Raw genomic sequence first — 17,011 nt, forward strand, 5'->3', positions numbered from 1 at the left:
CGTCATTCTCCTGCCTCAGAGACAGGGTTTCACTGTGTTAGCCAGGATGGTCTCGATCTCCTGACCTCGTGATCCTCCCGCCTCGGCCTCCCAAAGTGCTGCGATTACAGGCGTGAGCCACTGCGCCCGGCCATGCCTGACTAATTTTTTAAAAATATTTTTCATAGAGATGGACTCTTGCTGTGTTGCCCAGGTTGTTCTCGAACTCCAGGGCTCAAGTGATCCTCCTGCCTCAGCCTCCCAAAGCCCTGGGATGAAGGTGGGAGCTGCACGCACCTGGCCTGCTTACACATCATCTGTGGCTGCTTTCAAGCTACAATAGCAAAATTGGGTCCTTGTAGCCAGGCACGGCGGCTCACGCCTATAATCCCAGCACTTTGGGAGGCTGAGGCAGGTGGATCACTTGAGGTCAGGCGTTTGAGACCAGCCTGGCCAACATGATGAAACCCTGTCTCTACTTTATACAAAAGTTAGCCAGGCGTGGTGGTGCATGCCTGTAATCCCAGCTGCTCGGGAGGCTGAGGCAAGAACATTGTAAGCCTGCTGGTGCTTGAACCTGGGAGGCAGAGGTTGCAGTGAGCCAAGATCACACCACTGCCCTCCAGCCTGGGTGACAGAGTGAGATGCTGTCTCAGTAAATAAATAAATAAATAAAATTTAAAAAATTGAGTCCTTGCATCAGAGTCTGTCTGGCCCCTTACACACCCCTGCCGTAGACCACTGTGTCTTCCCTGGCCACAGCAATGTTCTCATGATGTGCTATGGCCGCCACATCCTTAGCTCCAGCATCGTAGAGCAAGTTCCCTCCCACAAAGCCCTACACTTCAGTTCTCCCCTACCCCCGTCATCATTCTCTCCTTCATCCAAAACACCACTCTCATCCCCTCACTGCTCTCAAATTGGGTGGGAGGAGAAAATAAAAACCTTTCATTTTGCAAGCAGGTGATACCTGGATGGCAAATGAATGGCAAAAGAAATTCAGACTAAGGTGTGAATGTCTAATAGACTTGGCCTTTGTTCTCCCACCCACCTAAGAGGTCCTGGCATGTTTCAAGGAGCTTGCTCATCCCCCATTTTCTCATAGCTGGTCAGAGGGGAGTCTTTTTTTAAAGGGGGCATAATCTTTGGGGGACTTTCCCAGTTTTCCCCCATGGAAGACTAGGAACCAATAACTTGGTACCATGTTATTTATTCCTTCTTCATCTATAAAATATTTAAGGGAACAAAACGCATATGTGGTTTACTCTGCCTGGTATGCAAAAAGAGAACTCGGAGGAATTGCTAATAAATGAAAATCCAACTTCCCTTGTCTCAGAGTTTGCTGATGCTTCCAAAATCATTTGAGTGAAAGACGGTTGATCAGTGTAGTTGGTGATTCATGTTCTGCTCACACGTGGCATGGGCAGAAGTGTTTCCATCACAGTTTTAAAATTCTAGGCAAGTCTGGTCATCTCCTCCTGCTCTTAGTATTTACTGTGAACATCGCAGGTTACTCTCTTGCCAGATCACTAAATTAGCAGACTGATTAAATAACACCATTTCAAAATGCTAGTTTAGATATTATGGTTACAGCGTGCTTGAAAACCCTACCCCAAAGTGCAGTAAGATTGCCTCAAAAGTATAACCTGGGGGAAATAAGGCATTTTCTCCATCGCACATCAATTAAATATTTCCATCACTTCTCTACACACTTCTAACTCGCCTAAAATTGCTTGGAGGTCTGAAAATGAACAACACAAGAAGACATTTCACAGTCTTAAGTATTCCCTGGAATGAGTTCCCTTTTCTCTCCCAAAGAGCTACAGGCGGTTTTTATTTATTTATTTATTTTGAGAAATATCAGCTTCTTTTTAGTTCTATTAAAGAGAAGTGAAAGAAAGCTGACAAGCTTTATTTATTTAACTTTTTTTTTTTTTAACTTTTTTGAGACAGTCTCGCTCTGTCACCCAGGCTGGAGTGCAGTTGCGCGATGTCAGCTTACTGCAACCTCCACCTCCCGGGTTCAGGCGATTCTCGTGCCTCAGCCTCCCAAGTAGCTAAGACTACAGGCACGCACCACCACGCCCGGTTAATTTTTTTGTAGTTTTAGTAGATAAAGGTTTCACCACGTTGGCCAGGCTGATCTCAAACTCTTGACTTCAGGTGATCCGTCTGCCTCGGCCTCCCAAAGTGCTGGGATTACAGGCGTGAGTCACCGTGCCTGACCGCTTGCAGCTTTTAAGACCCTCTTTAAGCACTTAGAGTGCTGCCATGTTATCCAGAAGGAAACTCACACATGTAAAGAATCCAAATTATCCCATCCAGGGGTATCACGTATTGACTTTCTTTTCCCCAAGAATTTATTGTGGTCTAATTTATATAGAGGGAAATGCACACGTTTCAGTGGAACGTCTGTTGACTTTTCACGTTTGTGTACACTGTGTGACTACCACCAGATCAGGCTGCACATCACCCAGCCAGCCTGCTGGTGCCCATATGCAGGGGAGATCCTCAGTGCCCCTCACCACGCCGGCGAAGCCACTATCAACACAGAACAGAGGTCGCCTGCTCTTGAACTTCAAATAAGTGGATTCACGCAGTCTGTGCTCTTTTGCATCTGTCTGGCCTCTTTCATTCAACATAATGTTTTGGAGATACACTACATTGTTCTTTTTTTTTCTGGATGGAGTCTCACTCTGTCTCCCAGGCTGGAGTGCAGTGGTGCGATCTCGGCTCACTGCAACCTCCACCTCCTGGGTTCAAGCGATTCTCCTGCCTCAGCCTCCTGAGTAGCTGGGATTACAGGTGCCCGCCACCATGCTCAGCTAATTTTTGTATTTTTGGTAGAGACAGGGTTTCGCCATGTTGGCCAGGCTGCTCTCGAACTCCTGACCTCAAGTGATCTGCCCACCTCGGCCTCCCAACGTGCTGGGATTACAGGTGTAAGCCACCATGCCTGGCTCGGTGTAACTTCTATTGAAAAAGATTTTTCTCAGCACTCTGGGAGGCTAATGTGGGTGGATAGCTTGAGGCCAGCAGTTTAAGACCAACCTGGGCAACATAGCAAGACCTCCATCTCTGTTTGAAAAAGAAAAGAAGAGAAAAAGATCCACATGTAAGTGGACCTGCACAGTTCCAGCATGTATTGTTCAAGGGTCCTGTGTTTGGGTACTATACACAGAGGAACAATGTTTCCGTTTGTTCAAACACACTGGACTCAGGTCCCTCTTTCTGCAGGCCCAGATTCTCCAAGGCAAGAGTGTGGGTAAGGGAGGTTGACTGAGATCACACAGTGCAGCCCCCAGCATGGGGCACAGAGTGCATGCAGCACCAGCTCAGGAAATGTTTCCTCCTTGTCCTTAATTAAGATTATATGGAACTGGCCTCTTCAGAAGCCACAGTTCAAAAGCAAACCAAATGGTTTTCTTTAATAGGGGCAGCTGCATGTAATCTGATTTTCATAATCATTCTCCAAGTGTACAATGTATGCATAGCCCTGGCACGAGGCATATGTGGGGAGCATATTAAGAAGCAAAGACGGCATTGATGGAGAAGGAGCTAAGTTCATATTTCTGCATCTCATTAAATTCTCTCTTTTTATTAGAAAGTGGCACTTTCCAATCTTGAAGTTAATATTTATGTTTGCTGCTCTGCAAAGCAATTTGGAAAGTAGTTTTAGTGAGATTACCCCAGAGAGAAAGCTAGTTATGTAAACTCCACAGGAGCCAGGCCAGGAAGGAGGAAAGTTTTTCCGGTTTGATCATTGTCCTTCCTTCCTCTCACCTTGAAAAGAAATACAACTTAGTCCACAGCCATCAAGCCAGTTCTTGATTGTCATCTGTAGCACATACAAGACAAAAAAATCATTACAACAGACACAACAATTTTTTTTTTTTTTGAGACGGAATCTCACTCTGTTGCACAGGCTGGAGTGAAGTGGTGCAATCTCAGCTCACTGCAACCTCCGCACCCTGGGTTCAAGCAACTCTCCTCCCTCAGCATTCTGAGTAGCTGGGATTGTAGGTGCCCGCCACCATGCCTGGCTAATTTTTGTATTTTTAGTAGAGATGGGGTTTCACCATGTTGGCCAGGCTGGTCTGAAACTCCTGGCCTCAAATGATTGGCCTGCCTTGGCCTCCCAAACTGCTGGGATTACAGGCGCGAGCCACTGCGCCTGGCCCAGACACAGCAATTAAAAAAAAAAAAAAGTTCTAACCTGCATTTAATAATGATACAGGAGATAGAAAGAAATTATTTAGACAGATAGTGAGGGTGAAAGAGTCCTTGACAAGATCTCTCTTCTAATAAAAAGCAGCCCCCAAAATTATTTTTTTTCTAACAAAGAGCAGCCTGAAAAATCAAGCTGCAAACATAGATAAACATGCTAAAAACTTACATGGGTGAATGCAGACAGCTGTGCCAATAGAAAAGGGCTACCTGGGGCCAGGCGTACCCAACATGAAGACTCCATCTTTCCTTTTCTGTTGTTACCACGTATACAATAAAGAAACGAACAACATGACACTGGCCAGACAGAGAATCCATCTACATAATACATAGGATTGGGGCTGGGCGCGGTGACTCATGCCTGTAATCCCAGCACTTTGGGAGGCTGGGGCGGGCAGATCACCTGAGGTCAGGAGTTTGAGACCAGCCTGGCCAACATGGTGAAACCCCATCTCTACTAAAAATACAGAAATTAGCTGTGGGTGATGATGCACACCTGTAGTCCCAGCTACTTGGGAGGTTGAAGCAGGATAATCATTTGAACCCAGGAGACGGAGGTTTCAGTGAGCCAAGATTGTGCCACTGCACTCTAGTCTGGGCAACAAGAGCAAAACTCTGTCTCACAAAAACAAACAAACAAAAAAAGATTAGGGTGCAGACAGCCAACTTTTAACACCTTATACAAATGATACACCTAGCTCTAACCAGTTTTTCACGCCTTATACAAATGGCACACCTGGCCCAACCAATCGTTTGTGCCCTATGCAAATCAGACACCACCTTCTCAAACTAATCTGTAAAATCCCCTGACATTTCACCATGGAACCAACAACGCATTTTTTTGGGATTTCTCTCTGGGCAGAGAGCTCTTCTCTGTCTTTTTCTTTTTCTTTCTTTCTTTCTTTTTTTTTTTTTTTGAGATGGAGTCTCGCTCTGTCGCCCAGGCTGGAGTGCAGTGGCGTGATCTCGGCTCACTGCAAGCTCCACCTCCCAGGTTTACGCAATTCTCCTGCCTCAGCCTCCCGAGTAGCTGGGACTACAGGCACCTGCCACCAGGCCCAGCTAATTTTTTGTATTTTTAGTAGAGACGGGGTTTCACCGTGTTAGCCAGGATGGTCTCGATCTCCTGACTTCGTGATCCGCCCGCCTCAGCCTCCCAAAGTGCTGGGATTACAGGCATGAGCCACTGTGCCTGGCCTAGCTCTTCTCTTTCACCTATTAACTTCCACTCTAAACCTCACTCTCTGTGTGTCCATGTCTTAGTTTTCTGTGGCTGTGAGACAATGAATCTCGGGTATCACCCCAGACAAATGAGGCCACTTCAATAACACATCATCCTATCCAAGTGTAAACATGAAATTCGCTTATGTTTCATATACACCTTGTACACAGAGTCTGAAGGTAATTTTATACAATATTTTAAATAATTTTGTGCGTGAAACAAAGTTTATGTACAAGAGATATTACAGCTGAAGGGGGCTGGAAGGGTCTTTTTTCCCCTGGGGCTGCTGAATAAACTGTGTGTTATGTGCCTGGTGCTTCAACTGTAACCTGTCATGTGAGGTCAGGTGTGGAATTTTCCACTTTTGGCATCACGTCAGTGCTCAGAAATGTTCAGATTTTGAACCATTTCATTAGGGATGTTCGACCTGTGGCTGTTTTTACTTCCCCATTTTATTTTATTTTATTTTTTTTGAGATGGAGTTTCACTCTTGTTGCCCAGGCTGGAGTACAATGGCATGATCTTAGCTCACTGCAACCTCTGCCTCCTGGGTTCAAGTGATTCTTCTGCCTCAGCCTCCCGAGTAGCTGGGATTACAGGTGTGCACTGCCATGTCCAGCTAATTTTGTATTTTTAGTAGAGATGGGGTTTCGCCCTGTTGGCCAGGCTGGTCTCGAACTCCTGACCTCTGGTGATCTGCCTGCCTCAGCCTCCCAAAGTGCTGGGATTACAAGTGTGAGCCACCGTGCCTGGCCACCTTCCCCATTTGAGATGTGAGAGGTAATCCACCCTAACCATAAATTAGTTTTTCATAGTGTTAAATAAGAAATAAATCATCTTAGTCTCTAGACAAAGAGGTGCAAGGAAAATTGAGTGAATGAATGCAGTGCTTTGGGTCTGAGAATACAAAAGGTGAACGATGATAAACTTTACCAAGAAGGCCCTATTTACATGGGATTTCTTAGTAGCGAGTACCACGCTTGCATTTAACATAGGATTCCATCTGTATACAAATTAGGTCTATAAAATGCCAGGAACCCTCCAGTAACGCAAAGCCCAAGACAGTTCCTCTTACAATTAAGCACCACTTGGTTGTCACTAGTTCTGCTTGAAATGTGGGGCCACTGTTCTTTCACACTGTAATGGCATATTCAAACTGTCTCTGCCATGTTCAAATTAGCAATAACCAAATGAAAATTGTAAATTCTGTGTGTTCACTGGCAAGCCGGAACCACTGACGAAAGCTTCAAAAATCCATTATTTCCTGGGCACTCACCAGACCCCCCACAGATGCATCTCTGTGTCTTCAGCCTCTGGACCTCGGCTTTTGCCCATTCACATCCCCCATGAGGATGGCTCTTGTCCATTTTCTCTCCCAGTTGGTGTTTCTTCTCCCCTTGCTCTCTCCTGGTTAGAGGCTCTTCACTGGGGGTCCGTGGGGTGCCAAGGGCAGTAGGGGTGTCAGGGGGGCCTTCCAAAGCAGGCTATTGTTTGAGAATGATGTTGCATGTCACGTGTCACACATGTGACATTGTGTGTGCTTCTCCAGACTAGAGGGTCTGTCCCATGCACCAGATTCTCAAAGAGGCCAGAGACCCCTGCCCTAGATGACAGTCTCACCCCAGGATACAGAGAGTACCCGGATCTCTGTTCAGCCCTGCTATGTCACAATCCCACTGAGATGTCAATAACCACATCTCGGCCAGGCACAGTGGCTCACACCTATACTCCCAGCATTTTGGGAGGCTGAGGCGGGTGGATCACCTGAGGTCAGGAGTTTGAGACCAGCCTGGCCAACATGGTGAAACCCTGTCTCTACTAAAATTACAAAAATTAGCTGGGTTTGGTGGTGGGCATCTGTAATCCCAGCTACTTGGGAGGCTGAGGCAGGAGAATCACCTGAACCCAGGAGGCGGAGGTTGCAGTGAGCTGAGGTCTTGCCATTGCACTCCAGCCTGGGCGACAAGAATGAAACTCCATCTCAAACAAACAAACAAAAAACTAACCACATGCTCGATGTTTCTGTGTCTTCCCTGCTGGTTAGTGACATCCAAGGCAGGCCACATGAGTAAGAACCCTCTGAGATCTTCCACCCTTCACTTCCCTAACCTGGAATCCAGTCATTCTCCAGGTTTTGGGGCTCCCAACTCCAAATGTTCATTCCTCTTTGTCCCCCACTTCCATGTGACACTGCCTGGGTGTGTAGCCTCAGCACCCCTTTTGTCGAATTGGTCTCTGGCTCTGGGGTTTCCTCGCTTGGTCCTCCACACTGGGTCAGTTCTCTCAATGGCCACCTCCTTCCTTGCACAAGATCAAGTGCAGACTCCTGACCTGGGTGCTGGAGGGCAGTCCTTTCCATCGCCCCCGTTCTCCTCACCCAGATTCTCAGGCCACATGGGCGGGCTTGCCATGGTTATGGTTGACTCGTGCGCTGCCCCCATCTTGGTCCATTTGCATTGCTATAAAGGAACGCCTGGAGCTGGTTAATTTTTTATTTTTATTATTTATTTATTTAGAGACAAAGTCTCGCTCTTGTCCCCCAGGCTGGAGTGCAATGGCATGATCTTGGCTCACTGCAACCTCCACCTCCAGGTTCAAGCGATTCTCCTGCCTCAGCCTCCCCAGTAGCTGGGATTATAGGCGCCTGCCACCATACCTGGCTAATTTTTGTATTTTTAGTAGAGACAGGGTTCCACCATGTTGGCCAGGCTGGTCTCGAACTTGTGACCTCAGGTGATCTGCCCGCCTCGGCCTCCCAAAGTGCTGGGATTACAGGCGTGAGCCACCACGCCTGGCCTATTTTTATTTTTTTATTTTTGAGATGGAGTCTTTCTCTGTTGCCCAGGCTGGAGTGCAATGGCATGATCTTGGCTAACTGCAACCTCCGCCTGCCGGGTTCAGGTGATTCTCCTGCCTCAGCCTCCCGAGTAGCTGGGATTACAGGCATGCATCATGACACCCAGATAATTTTTGTATTTTTAGTAGAGACAGGGTTTCACCATGTTGGCCAGTCTAGCCTCAAACTGCTGACATCAGGTGGACTGCTGGCCTCGGCCTCTCAAAGTGCTGGGATTGCAGGCATGAGCCACCGTGCCCGGCTGAAGCTGGTAATTAATAAAGAAAAGAGGTTTTGTCGCTCACGGCTCTGCAGGCTGCACAAGCAGCATGGCACAGCATCTGCACGGGTGAGGGCCGCAGGCTGCTTCTCCTGGCAAAAGGAGCAATGGAGCCACATGCACAGAGATTACAGGGCAAGAGAGGAAGCAAGAAAGTGCGGGGGACGGCCAGCTCTCAAGGGAGCTAACAGAGTGCAAACTCACTCATTACTATGAGGATGGCACAAAACCATGAGGGATCCTCCCCAGGACCCACACACCCCCCATCAGGCCCGACTCCCAACACGGGATTGAATTTCAATATGGGGTTTAGATATTTGGAGTCAAATATCCAATACATAGCACTCCCAAAAGATGCTGAAATCCTAATCCCCAGTACTGTGACTGGGACATTATTTGGAGGTAGGGTTGTATGGAAAAATCAAACTGCCTTTCCTCTTCTCTCACACCACAAGTGTCAACACTCCTGTGACTCCTGTGATGAACGGGCTGAGGATTTCTCCCCGCCAGCAAGTCGGCACTCAGTTCTGCAGCGGCGCCAGCTGGGTGTCCCCCAGTCCAGTTCAATTCCAGCATGGTCCATCTGCAGACAGCACAAGATCCCACAGGGTGAGGGCTCAGTCCCACAAGACAGTCACCACTTTTTTTTTTTTTTTTTTGAGGCAGGGTCTGGCTCTGTTGCCCAGGCTGGAGTACAGTGGCATGATCATGGCTCACTGCAACCTCGACCTCCTGGGCTCAAGTGATCCTCCTAGCTCAGCCTCCTGAGTAGCTGGGACCCCAGGCATATGCCATTACACCCAGCTAATTTTTTATTTTGTACAGAGGGGGTCTTGCCATATTGCCCAGGCTGGTCTCGAATTCTTAGCCTCAAGTGATTCTCTGGCCTCAGTCTCCCATAGTGTTGGGCTCTCAGGCATGAGCCATTGCATCCAGCCACCTGCCACCACTTCTGATGCCAGTCACAAGCCCCAGCTAGTTCTGCCTGTGCTTCTGACTGGCTATAAATTGAGATTCTTACCCCCCTCAGGTTTGATTAGCTGGAGTGGCTCACAAAACTCAGGGCAACACTGACATTTTCTGGATGATTACAAAGGGTGTTACAAAGGCTTCTGATGAACACCAGAGGAAGAGACTGGTAGGGCAAGGATGGAGGAGGGGCATTAAGCTTCCTTGCCCTCCCCAGGTGCACCACCCTCAGGAACCTCCATGTGTTTAGCTATTTGGAAGCTTCTCCAACTCTGTCCTTTCTTTTTTTTTTTTGAGACTGAGTCTCACTCTGTCGACCAGGCTGGAGTGCAGTGGCGTGATCTCGGCTCACTGCAACCTCCACCTCCTGGGTTCAAGCGATTCTCCTGCCTCAGCCTCCCAAGTAGCTGGGATTACAGACATGCACCACCATACCTGGCTAATTTTTGTATTTTTAGTAGTGACGGGGTTTCACCATGTTGGCCAGGCTGACTCCTCCAACTCCTGACCTCAAGCGATCCACCCACCTTGGCCTCCCAAACTGCTGGGATTATAGACGTGAGCCACCACGCCTGGCCCCCCTTTTGGGTTTTTATGGAGCCTTCATTGGCTAAGCACAATTGAAGCTGGACAACCATGTCGAAGTGTGATTGGACAAAAACAGTATGACTCAACACCATCAGTCAGAGTGGTGAAGCCCCGCAAGGCCTGTCTGTATAGCATTTCTTCCTCCTGGGCGGGAGGCTGGACTCCTCCTGAAATGGGGGTCCCGTGACCCTCAGTCAGACAAGGCAGGTCAGAGAATTTCTCCACGGCCAGCTCCAAGATGGAAAGGTGGGGGAAGATTCAAGTATATTTTCATTTTCTATGGCCTGACTTGGGGAGAAAAAGGAGCAGGTGAAAGGAGGGAAGGAGAAAGAAGGTCAGAAAGAGAGAGAAACTACACCTGAAGCCTGCTTCCAAAGATCCAACATGATAACACAGGACTATCGTTCCCCTTTATTGCTCTGAAGCTGTTTCCACACTGCTTCAGGAACCAAGGAAAAAAGAACAAATATTGTAACAAAAGATCTGCTTATTGCTATAGTCACTGAGGAAATAACAAGGGTGATGGGAATTATGAGCCAGGCATGGTGGAGGAAAACCAATGCATAAATATCATCATCTCACAGGGTCTTTGCAGATGATGAGGTGAAGATGAATCACCAGGATGGGCTCTAATCCAACATGACTGTGTCCCTGTAAAGTCTAGACTCACACACACACACACACACACACACACACACACACACACACACACACACACACACACAGGGCCTAGTAGAGACGGAGGCAGAGACGGGGCAATGCTTCTACAGGCCGAGGAACATGGAAGATTTGCTGGCAAACCCCAGGAGCCTGGAGAGATGCAGGGAACAGATTTGCCCGTGCAGCCTCCAAATGGAAATGAACCTAGCCTACACCTTGATTTGGATTTCTGGCCTCCTGCTGAAATCCTAATCCCCAGTACACAGGGGTATTACAAGGACACGGTCATCTTGGATTACAGCCCACTCTGGTGACTTCATCTTCACTTGATCATCTGCAAAGACCCTTGTGAGATGATGATATTTATCAATTGGTTTTCCTCCACCGTGCCTGCCTCATAATTCCCGTAGACCTTGTTATTTCTCTCCAAACTGTGAGAGAAGACGTTTCTGTTGTTCTGAGCCCTCCAGCTCATGGAACTTTGTGCTGGCAGCCCCAAGACACCCCAGTGTCCTCTCCCTGTCTCTTCTGCCTGGTGGGTCTTCTCCTCCTTTACTGAAAGGAAAAGGGCATTTGATCCTTGTTCCAGGTCAAATGTCCCTTCCCTGCAAGCCTCCTCTGCCCACAGCACTTCTCCCCCACCCCATCCACATGGTCCCTGTCCCTCCTCCATGCTGGCCACGCTACACGGCCACTGTGTCCTGTGCCCACGTTCTCCTTGACCACAAACTCCTGGAGGACAAAGCTCTGTGCCCTTGGTCTTCACGCCCCTGGCTGAGGACTGGGCCTGGCACCAACTTGACCAACAGAAACATGTACTGCACTGGGGGGACTGGGGGGCAGCCAGCACAAAGGGAGACAGAAAAACCATCTCAACCCACACACCCAGAGCTGAACCCACTTCTCCCCAGGTGCCGTCCTCTGCTGAGTGATCCACCATGGCCTGGCAGGACACCCAGCCTTCACTCCTCCTACTTCTTTTTTTTTATTTTTTATTTTTTTTTTATTTTTGGAGACAGAGTCTCGCTCTGTCACCCAGGCTGGAGTGCAGTAGCATGATCTCTGCCCACTGCAACTTCCACCTCCCGAGTTCAAGCGATCCTTGTGCCTCAGCCTCCCAAGTAGCAGGGATTACAGGCATCCACCACCATGCCCCGATAATTTTTGTATTTTTAGTAGAGATGGGGTTTCACCATGTTGGCCAGGCTGGTCTTGAACTCTTGACCTCAGGTGATCTGCCTGCTTTGGCCTCCCAAAGTGTTGGGATTACAGGTGCGAGCCACTGCACCTGGCCTACTCCTCCTACTTCTTCAAGGCTGGGGCTTCTGGCTGTGAGCATCTCAGAAATCTGTTTGCTTTTCTCCTAAGTCACCGTCCGCCTGCCTGTGCCTTCTCTGTCTCCAGCACCTGCTGAGCAGCCATCAGCCAGAGGCAACATCTGTGACATCACAGCTCAAAGCCCTGCCTGGGTATCTAGGCTGGGCATGGTGGCTCACACCTATAATCCCAGCACTTTGGGAGGCCGAGGCAGGCGGATCACCTGAGGTCAGGGGTTCGAGACCAGCCTGGCCAACATGGCAAAACCGCATCTCTACTAAAAATACAAAAATTACCCGGTCGTGGTGGCGTGCACCTGTAATCCCAGCTACTCAGGAGGCTGAGACAGGAGAATCGCTTTAACTCAGGAGGTGGAGGTTGCAGTGAGCCGAGATTGTGCCACTGCACTCCAGCCTGGGCAACAAAGCAAGACTACGTCTAAAAAAATAAAATAAAATAAAACAAAACAAAATAAAATAAAATAAAATAAAATAAAATAAAATAAAATAAAATAAAATAAAATAAAATAAAATAAAAATAGCCCTGTCTGGCAGTCCTCGGGATGAAGCCGTTTCCTCTGCTTCCAACACATGCGAGGCCTGTCTCCCCTCCTCTCCCCTCCCTGGCACCCCACACTGTCCCCAGGGCCTGCTCTTCTGCTCACCTCATGGTACCGGCCTGCAAGCCATTTCCTGGGGCCTCCCCGTCGCCTCTTCCAGAAACAACTCCTGGAACTCCCCTTGGAGGTCAGGCCAATGACCTGTGCCCCGCATTGCCCTCCATCCTCTAAGCTTCCCGTGGGTAGGGACAATTCCCAGTTCTGAAGGGCTCCCCCTGCCCCGGGCCTGGCTCTTGGCAGAAGCTTAACAACAGACCGGCCACGTTCGTGTGACCTGATTCTCTCCGGCTTTCAGGACGTCCTGAGGCTGCACCCACGTGGCAATGGTGTCTGTCGCGCTGTCGCCTGGATCCGGCACCACTAGCGGAGCCGAGCAGAGCCCAGGGCTCCAACGCGTAGGGAAAAGGCTGCGCCGCTCCCGGGGTGGCCCCACGCCCCTTCTCTGAGCTTGAGCGGCGGCGCGGGACGGGGACGGCTCTGGCCGGGACCAGCAGGCCTCGGGCATCCGGGACGCCGGGGCCGCGCTCCAGGCCAGGGGCGGGGGCGGGACCGGGGCGGGGGCCGGCGGCGGGGCCGCGCCCTCGGCCTCTCCCCGGGGCGACCGGGCGGCTCCACACGCGCTGCGCCCGCCGCCGGCCCCACGCGCGGCCCATGTCCTCCGCGCCGCGCTCGCCCACCCCGCGGCCCCGCAGGATGAAGAAGGACGAGTCGTTCCTGGGCAAGCTGGGCGGCACCCTGGCCAGGAAGCGGAGGGCGCGCGAGGGTGAGTGCGCGCCCGCGCCCGCCGACCCCCGGGGACCTGCCCGGCGGTGCCCGCCCTCGGCCCTAGAGCCCCACGAGGCCGCCCCCGCCCTCCCCCACGCACCCCGCCCGGCCCACGCGGCTGCGCGACCTTCGGGACAGGCCAGGCCTTTGACCCAGGACCCGTAAACAACGGCCGGGACCTGGCGCGTGGGGCCGCGGTGGCCTCCGGAGTCTGCCAAACGCGCGTGCGGGCGCCTGCGCGGCGGGGACCTCGGGCCACCGTGCGGGGCCCGCGCCTGCTCTGCCTGCCGGGTGTTCAGCTCTTCCCTGGGCCAGCGGCATAGCCAGCCGCGCGGGGTGACCGTTCATTCCATGAGCAGTGACGCTCACGTGTGCAGGGCACTCTGGGCAGACACGGCCTGGGGGACCCACTACTGGGTGTTGCGCGGGCGCCCTGCAGGGTGCGGGGCTCAGGGCGTGCAGGGCTGAGGCCTGGGAGGCCTGCGAGCAAGAATTGCAGAGATCCCATTAAAAATTTTTTTTTTTAAATTTTTTACTGCGTGTGCTCACGAAACACTACCAACCTCGTACGTTTTAAAGATTGTTAGAGTTGCAAGGGATAGTCTGGTGTCTTTAAGTGTACCGCTTGCCCAGGGCCTCCTGGGAGATACATTCTGGAATTTTCTGCTTGGGTGGGGAGGTTCTGCCCCGGGACCATGCCCTATAGTGAGATTTCGGATTGGTGAGAGGTGAGGGGAGCTGCTGTGGAAAGGCAGATGGAGAAAGGCCGGCCTCAGGTGGGTCCCCGGGAAGGAGCCCTCCCATAGCGGGTATGCAGTACGGTTTCCTTAAACCACCTGGGCCTGACATATCCCCTGGGAACTCTTCCTGTGCCTCCAGGGATTAGTGTACCCCGGGATGCAGGTCCCCCATTCATTTCTTCCCTGGGACTCTTGTATTCCTAGGGATGTGTGTGCCCCGGGAAGACATATGACAGATTTGCCTCTAGGCATGTGTGTGCCCCCATGCACCTGCTCCCCAGGATTTTTGTACAGTGCAGGGAACGCTTGGTTCCCCAGACATTTTCTCCCAGGGATGCCTGTGCCCCCAGGGATGCGTGTCTTCCCACCCGTGATCCTGTTCCAAGAGGGCAGGGTCTTGTCCCCTTCAGTAGGTCTCCTGGCGGATAGGTCACTCTTCTCTCAAGCCTTACACTGGAGGACCCACTGTAGCTTGTATTGGTCGGTGTTGGTCACGTCTCCTAAATGACATGATTAGTGGCTGTCACCCTTCTATCATCCCCACTGTTCTTCCATGCAGTCATCAGCACCCTCACCAGAAATCATTTCGGTTCCTCTTTATGGCTTGCAACGATTATAGACGCAAGTGACGCTCCCCTCCCAATTCAGCCCACAGCCTGTGGAGCGCCCGCCATGGGCCAGGTGCTGCTTAGACCCCAGGAAGAAAAGAGCGGGGGCGGGGTGCTTGCTTTCGTGGAACGGGGAATGAATACATAGACAACTGGCGCTGTGATGACGTGCCCCGGAGCACATAGAACAGGGCGATCAGAGCCAGGGGAGGCCTCTGAGGAGGGGACACTTGAGTGGAGGCCAGAAGGAACCAGAGGAAAAAGTCTTTCATAGAATGGCAAGGAACCGGAATGTTCTGGGCTATTGCAGCTTTTTCTAGGTGCCGTTTACGCTCTCGGAATAGGAAGAACACACACCCAAAGTAATGGACTGGGCCCAAATTCCAAAGTACGCAGTGCTTCTCCTCCTTGCCTGTATGAATTGATGTGTGTCTAGAAAATTCAGGCCCAGCCTGGTTTAATTCAAATGCACCAAGAATTCCGGTAGCAGGAAGCATCCTGTGCTGAATAGAACGGGCGTGGAGGCAGGAGGAGGAGCAGGACGCCGGGCACTGCTGATGCTGCTTTCGCTGGGGGTGAGCTGGGCGCCCTGCCTCGGTTCTCAGGGTTGGGGTGCCTGGCAAACAGAGGGCCACAAACCCTCCTTGGATCTAGGCACAGGAATTGAGGGACAGGCTGGATTGGGAAGGGTTTAGCGGCTTCTGTGTGGTCTCCTGGGAAGTGGAAGAGTCAGGAAGACTGGATAATGAGGGCTTGAATAATTGAGAGTCGCTGGTATTTCCGCAAGCCCATTTGCCTTGGCAACATGCGCTTCTGCCACTCCAGGGTGGAGCAGCCCCTGGCCCTGACTTTGGGCCGTCAGAGCTATGCTCGGTTGCCTACCAGGGAGTGACAGGGCGCTTGGGAGGTTTCCACGACCCTGCCTGCTGCACCGTCGGCTTCATTTCCTCCTTTGTTAGAAAGTTGAGGGTGGATTTGGGAGAACGGATGTGGCTCCGACATGTTCCTGAGTTGAGGACTCTAAGGGAGGAGGGGGAAGCTGGGGGAAGGGGCGGGCTCATCGGTGAGGTTCCAGATTCAGGCAGGGGTGTGACAAGGCACGGAGGGACTTTTGGGAGGGATGGTTGGGATGAGTGACGTGGCCTGTTCCAGAGGAGAGGGGTTAGGAAATGTGGGGCCCTGGGGTTTGGAGGAAGCAGTGCAGGAAGTGTCTGAGAATGAGCTTCACGGTGGGCGTGATTAAGGCTGATGTGCTACGGGAGGCGTGTCACGTGGTGGCCTGGGTCAGAAAAGGGAACTGTGACGAACTGTGGGCATTCAGAAAATGGAAAGGAACGCCGGAAACCCCCAGGGCTCCCCACAGAAGCTCTGGGGACGTGAAAGGACAGCGTGTTTCAAACTTGGGTTCAGCTTTACTGGGGCTTGGAGGAGCCCGTGTGCAGAGAAGACCAACAACACACAGGGTTCCCCACTGTGACCATGTGATGAGAGGCCCTGTAGGTCCAGTGGGCCAGGATGGAGGTCGGGGACAGCCCAGCTGCTGCTGGAAGTCCTCAGAGGCGGATGGCCGGCCCTGGCCAGTGTGGAAGAGGTCGGGTGGAGTGCTCCACACATTTGCCACAAGAGGCCTGTTCTGTGCTGCACCAGGCACTGGACCTCAGGCGCCACTGCCCAGTGGCCAGGGTCAGGTTTCTCAGAGACAGCTGAAGGCAGCGGGGCGAGAGCAGCCAGTCTGGAGGTTCTGTCCCTCTTTTCTGAGCAACACATTCAGGAAGTTTCTATCCCCTGATTACCTTAAAAAATATGTATGTGTGGGCCAGGTGAGGTGGCTCACGCCTGTAATCCCAGCACTCTGGGAGGCCGAGGTGGGTGGATCACCTGAGGTCGGGAATTCGAGACCAGCCTGGTCAACATGGTGAAACCCCATCTCCAGTAAAAACGCAAAAATTAGCCGGGCATGGTGGCGTGTGCCTGTAATCCCAGCTACTTGGGAAGCTGAGGCAGGAGAATCGCTTGAACCTGGGAGGTGGAGGTTGCAGTGAGCTGAGATTGCCTCACTGCGCTGCAGGCTGGTCAACAGAGTGAGACTCCATATCAAATAGAAAAAAAAACCATATATATATATATATATATATATATTCATGTGTGTGTATATATATTCACATATATATATTGACGTATATTTTTAAAGCAGTTTTAGG

The 17,011-nt window shown here is 51.1% G+C and overlaps 1 protein-coding gene and 1 long non-coding RNA gene across 6 annotated transcripts in view, besides 11 other annotated features; one reads left to right on the forward strand and one right to left on the reverse strand.

Moving 5' to 3' along the window:
• PARVB (parvin beta) overlaps positions 1-17,011 on the forward strand; it is a 173,729-nt gene that overhangs the window by 11,781 nt on the left and 144,937 nt on the right. For 2 of the 5 annotated variants that reach the window (NM_013327.5, XM_017028792.3), the window contains exon 1: positions 13,311-13,460. The exons of 2 other annotated variants lie outside the window; for them this stretch is intronic. In NM_013327.5, the coding sequence (NP_037459.2) occupies positions 13,349-13,460 (112 nt within the window). In that variant the 5' untranslated portion in view covers positions 13,311-13,348. Of the gene's footprint in view, positions 1-13,310; positions 13,461-15,312; positions 15,386-17,011 lie in introns of those variants that run through there. One more of the 5 variants, NM_001243386.2, reaches the window with a different exon arrangement.
• LOC124905131 (uncharacterized) lies at positions 7,907-11,784 on the reverse strand. Its single transcript, XR_007068125.1, has 2 exons — positions 10,460-11,784; positions 7,907-9,127 (listed from the first exon to the last, which is right to left on the reverse strand). It is a non-coding gene; the product is annotated as an uncharacterized LOC124905131 (long non-coding RNA).
• Positions 13,179-13,288: a silencer, noted in NCBI's record as "silent region_13860". NCBI's record gives its function as "represses an Ori minimal core promoter by ATAC-STARR-seq in GM12878 lymphoblastoid cells {active_cell/tissue: GM12878}" and the evidence as "EXISTENCE:reporter gene assay evidence [ECO:0000049][PMID:35858748]".
• Positions 13,319-13,438: a silencer, noted in NCBI's record as "silent region_13861". NCBI's record gives its function as "represses an Ori minimal core promoter by ATAC-STARR-seq in GM12878 lymphoblastoid cells {active_cell/tissue: GM12878}" and the evidence as "EXISTENCE:reporter gene assay evidence [ECO:0000049][PMID:35858748]".
• Positions 13,509-13,558: a silencer, noted in NCBI's record as "silent region_13862". NCBI's record gives its function as "represses an Ori minimal core promoter by ATAC-STARR-seq in GM12878 lymphoblastoid cells {active_cell/tissue: GM12878}" and the evidence as "EXISTENCE:reporter gene assay evidence [ECO:0000049][PMID:35858748]".
• Positions 13,609-13,818: a silencer, noted in NCBI's record as "silent region_13863". NCBI's record gives its function as "represses an Ori minimal core promoter by ATAC-STARR-seq in GM12878 lymphoblastoid cells {active_cell/tissue: GM12878}" and the evidence as "EXISTENCE:reporter gene assay evidence [ECO:0000049][PMID:35858748]".
• Positions 14,589-14,668: an enhancer, noted in NCBI's record as "active region_19197". NCBI's record gives its function as "activates an Ori minimal core promoter by ATAC-STARR-seq in GM12878 lymphoblastoid cells {active_cell/tissue: GM12878}" and the evidence as "EXISTENCE:reporter gene assay evidence [ECO:0000049][PMID:35858748]".
• Positions 14,679-14,758: an enhancer, noted in NCBI's record as "active region_19198". NCBI's record gives its function as "activates an Ori minimal core promoter by ATAC-STARR-seq in GM12878 lymphoblastoid cells {active_cell/tissue: GM12878}" and the evidence as "EXISTENCE:reporter gene assay evidence [ECO:0000049][PMID:35858748]".
• Positions 14,799-14,848: an enhancer, noted in NCBI's record as "active region_19199". NCBI's record gives its function as "activates an Ori minimal core promoter by ATAC-STARR-seq in GM12878 lymphoblastoid cells {active_cell/tissue: GM12878}" and the evidence as "EXISTENCE:reporter gene assay evidence [ECO:0000049][PMID:35858748]".
• Positions 14,919-14,968: an enhancer, noted in NCBI's record as "active region_19200". NCBI's record gives its function as "activates an Ori minimal core promoter by ATAC-STARR-seq in GM12878 lymphoblastoid cells {active_cell/tissue: GM12878}" and the evidence as "EXISTENCE:reporter gene assay evidence [ECO:0000049][PMID:35858748]".
• Positions 15,469-15,578: an enhancer, noted in NCBI's record as "active region_19201". NCBI's record gives its function as "activates an Ori minimal core promoter by ATAC-STARR-seq in GM12878 lymphoblastoid cells {active_cell/tissue: GM12878}" and the evidence as "EXISTENCE:reporter gene assay evidence [ECO:0000049][PMID:35858748]".
• Positions 15,979-16,288: an enhancer, noted in NCBI's record as "active region_19202". NCBI's record gives its function as "activates an Ori minimal core promoter by ATAC-STARR-seq in GM12878 lymphoblastoid cells {active_cell/tissue: GM12878}" and the evidence as "EXISTENCE:reporter gene assay evidence [ECO:0000049][PMID:35858748]".
• Positions 16,299-16,458: an enhancer, noted in NCBI's record as "active region_19203". NCBI's record gives its function as "activates an Ori minimal core promoter by ATAC-STARR-seq in GM12878 lymphoblastoid cells {active_cell/tissue: GM12878}" and the evidence as "EXISTENCE:reporter gene assay evidence [ECO:0000049][PMID:35858748]".

This window comes from Homo sapiens, chromosome 22 (genome assembly GCF_000001405.40).
Source record: "Homo sapiens chromosome 22, GRCh38.p14 Primary Assembly".
NCBI classification, from domain to species: domain Eukaryota; kingdom Metazoa; phylum Chordata; class Mammalia; order Primates; family Hominidae; genus Homo; species Homo sapiens.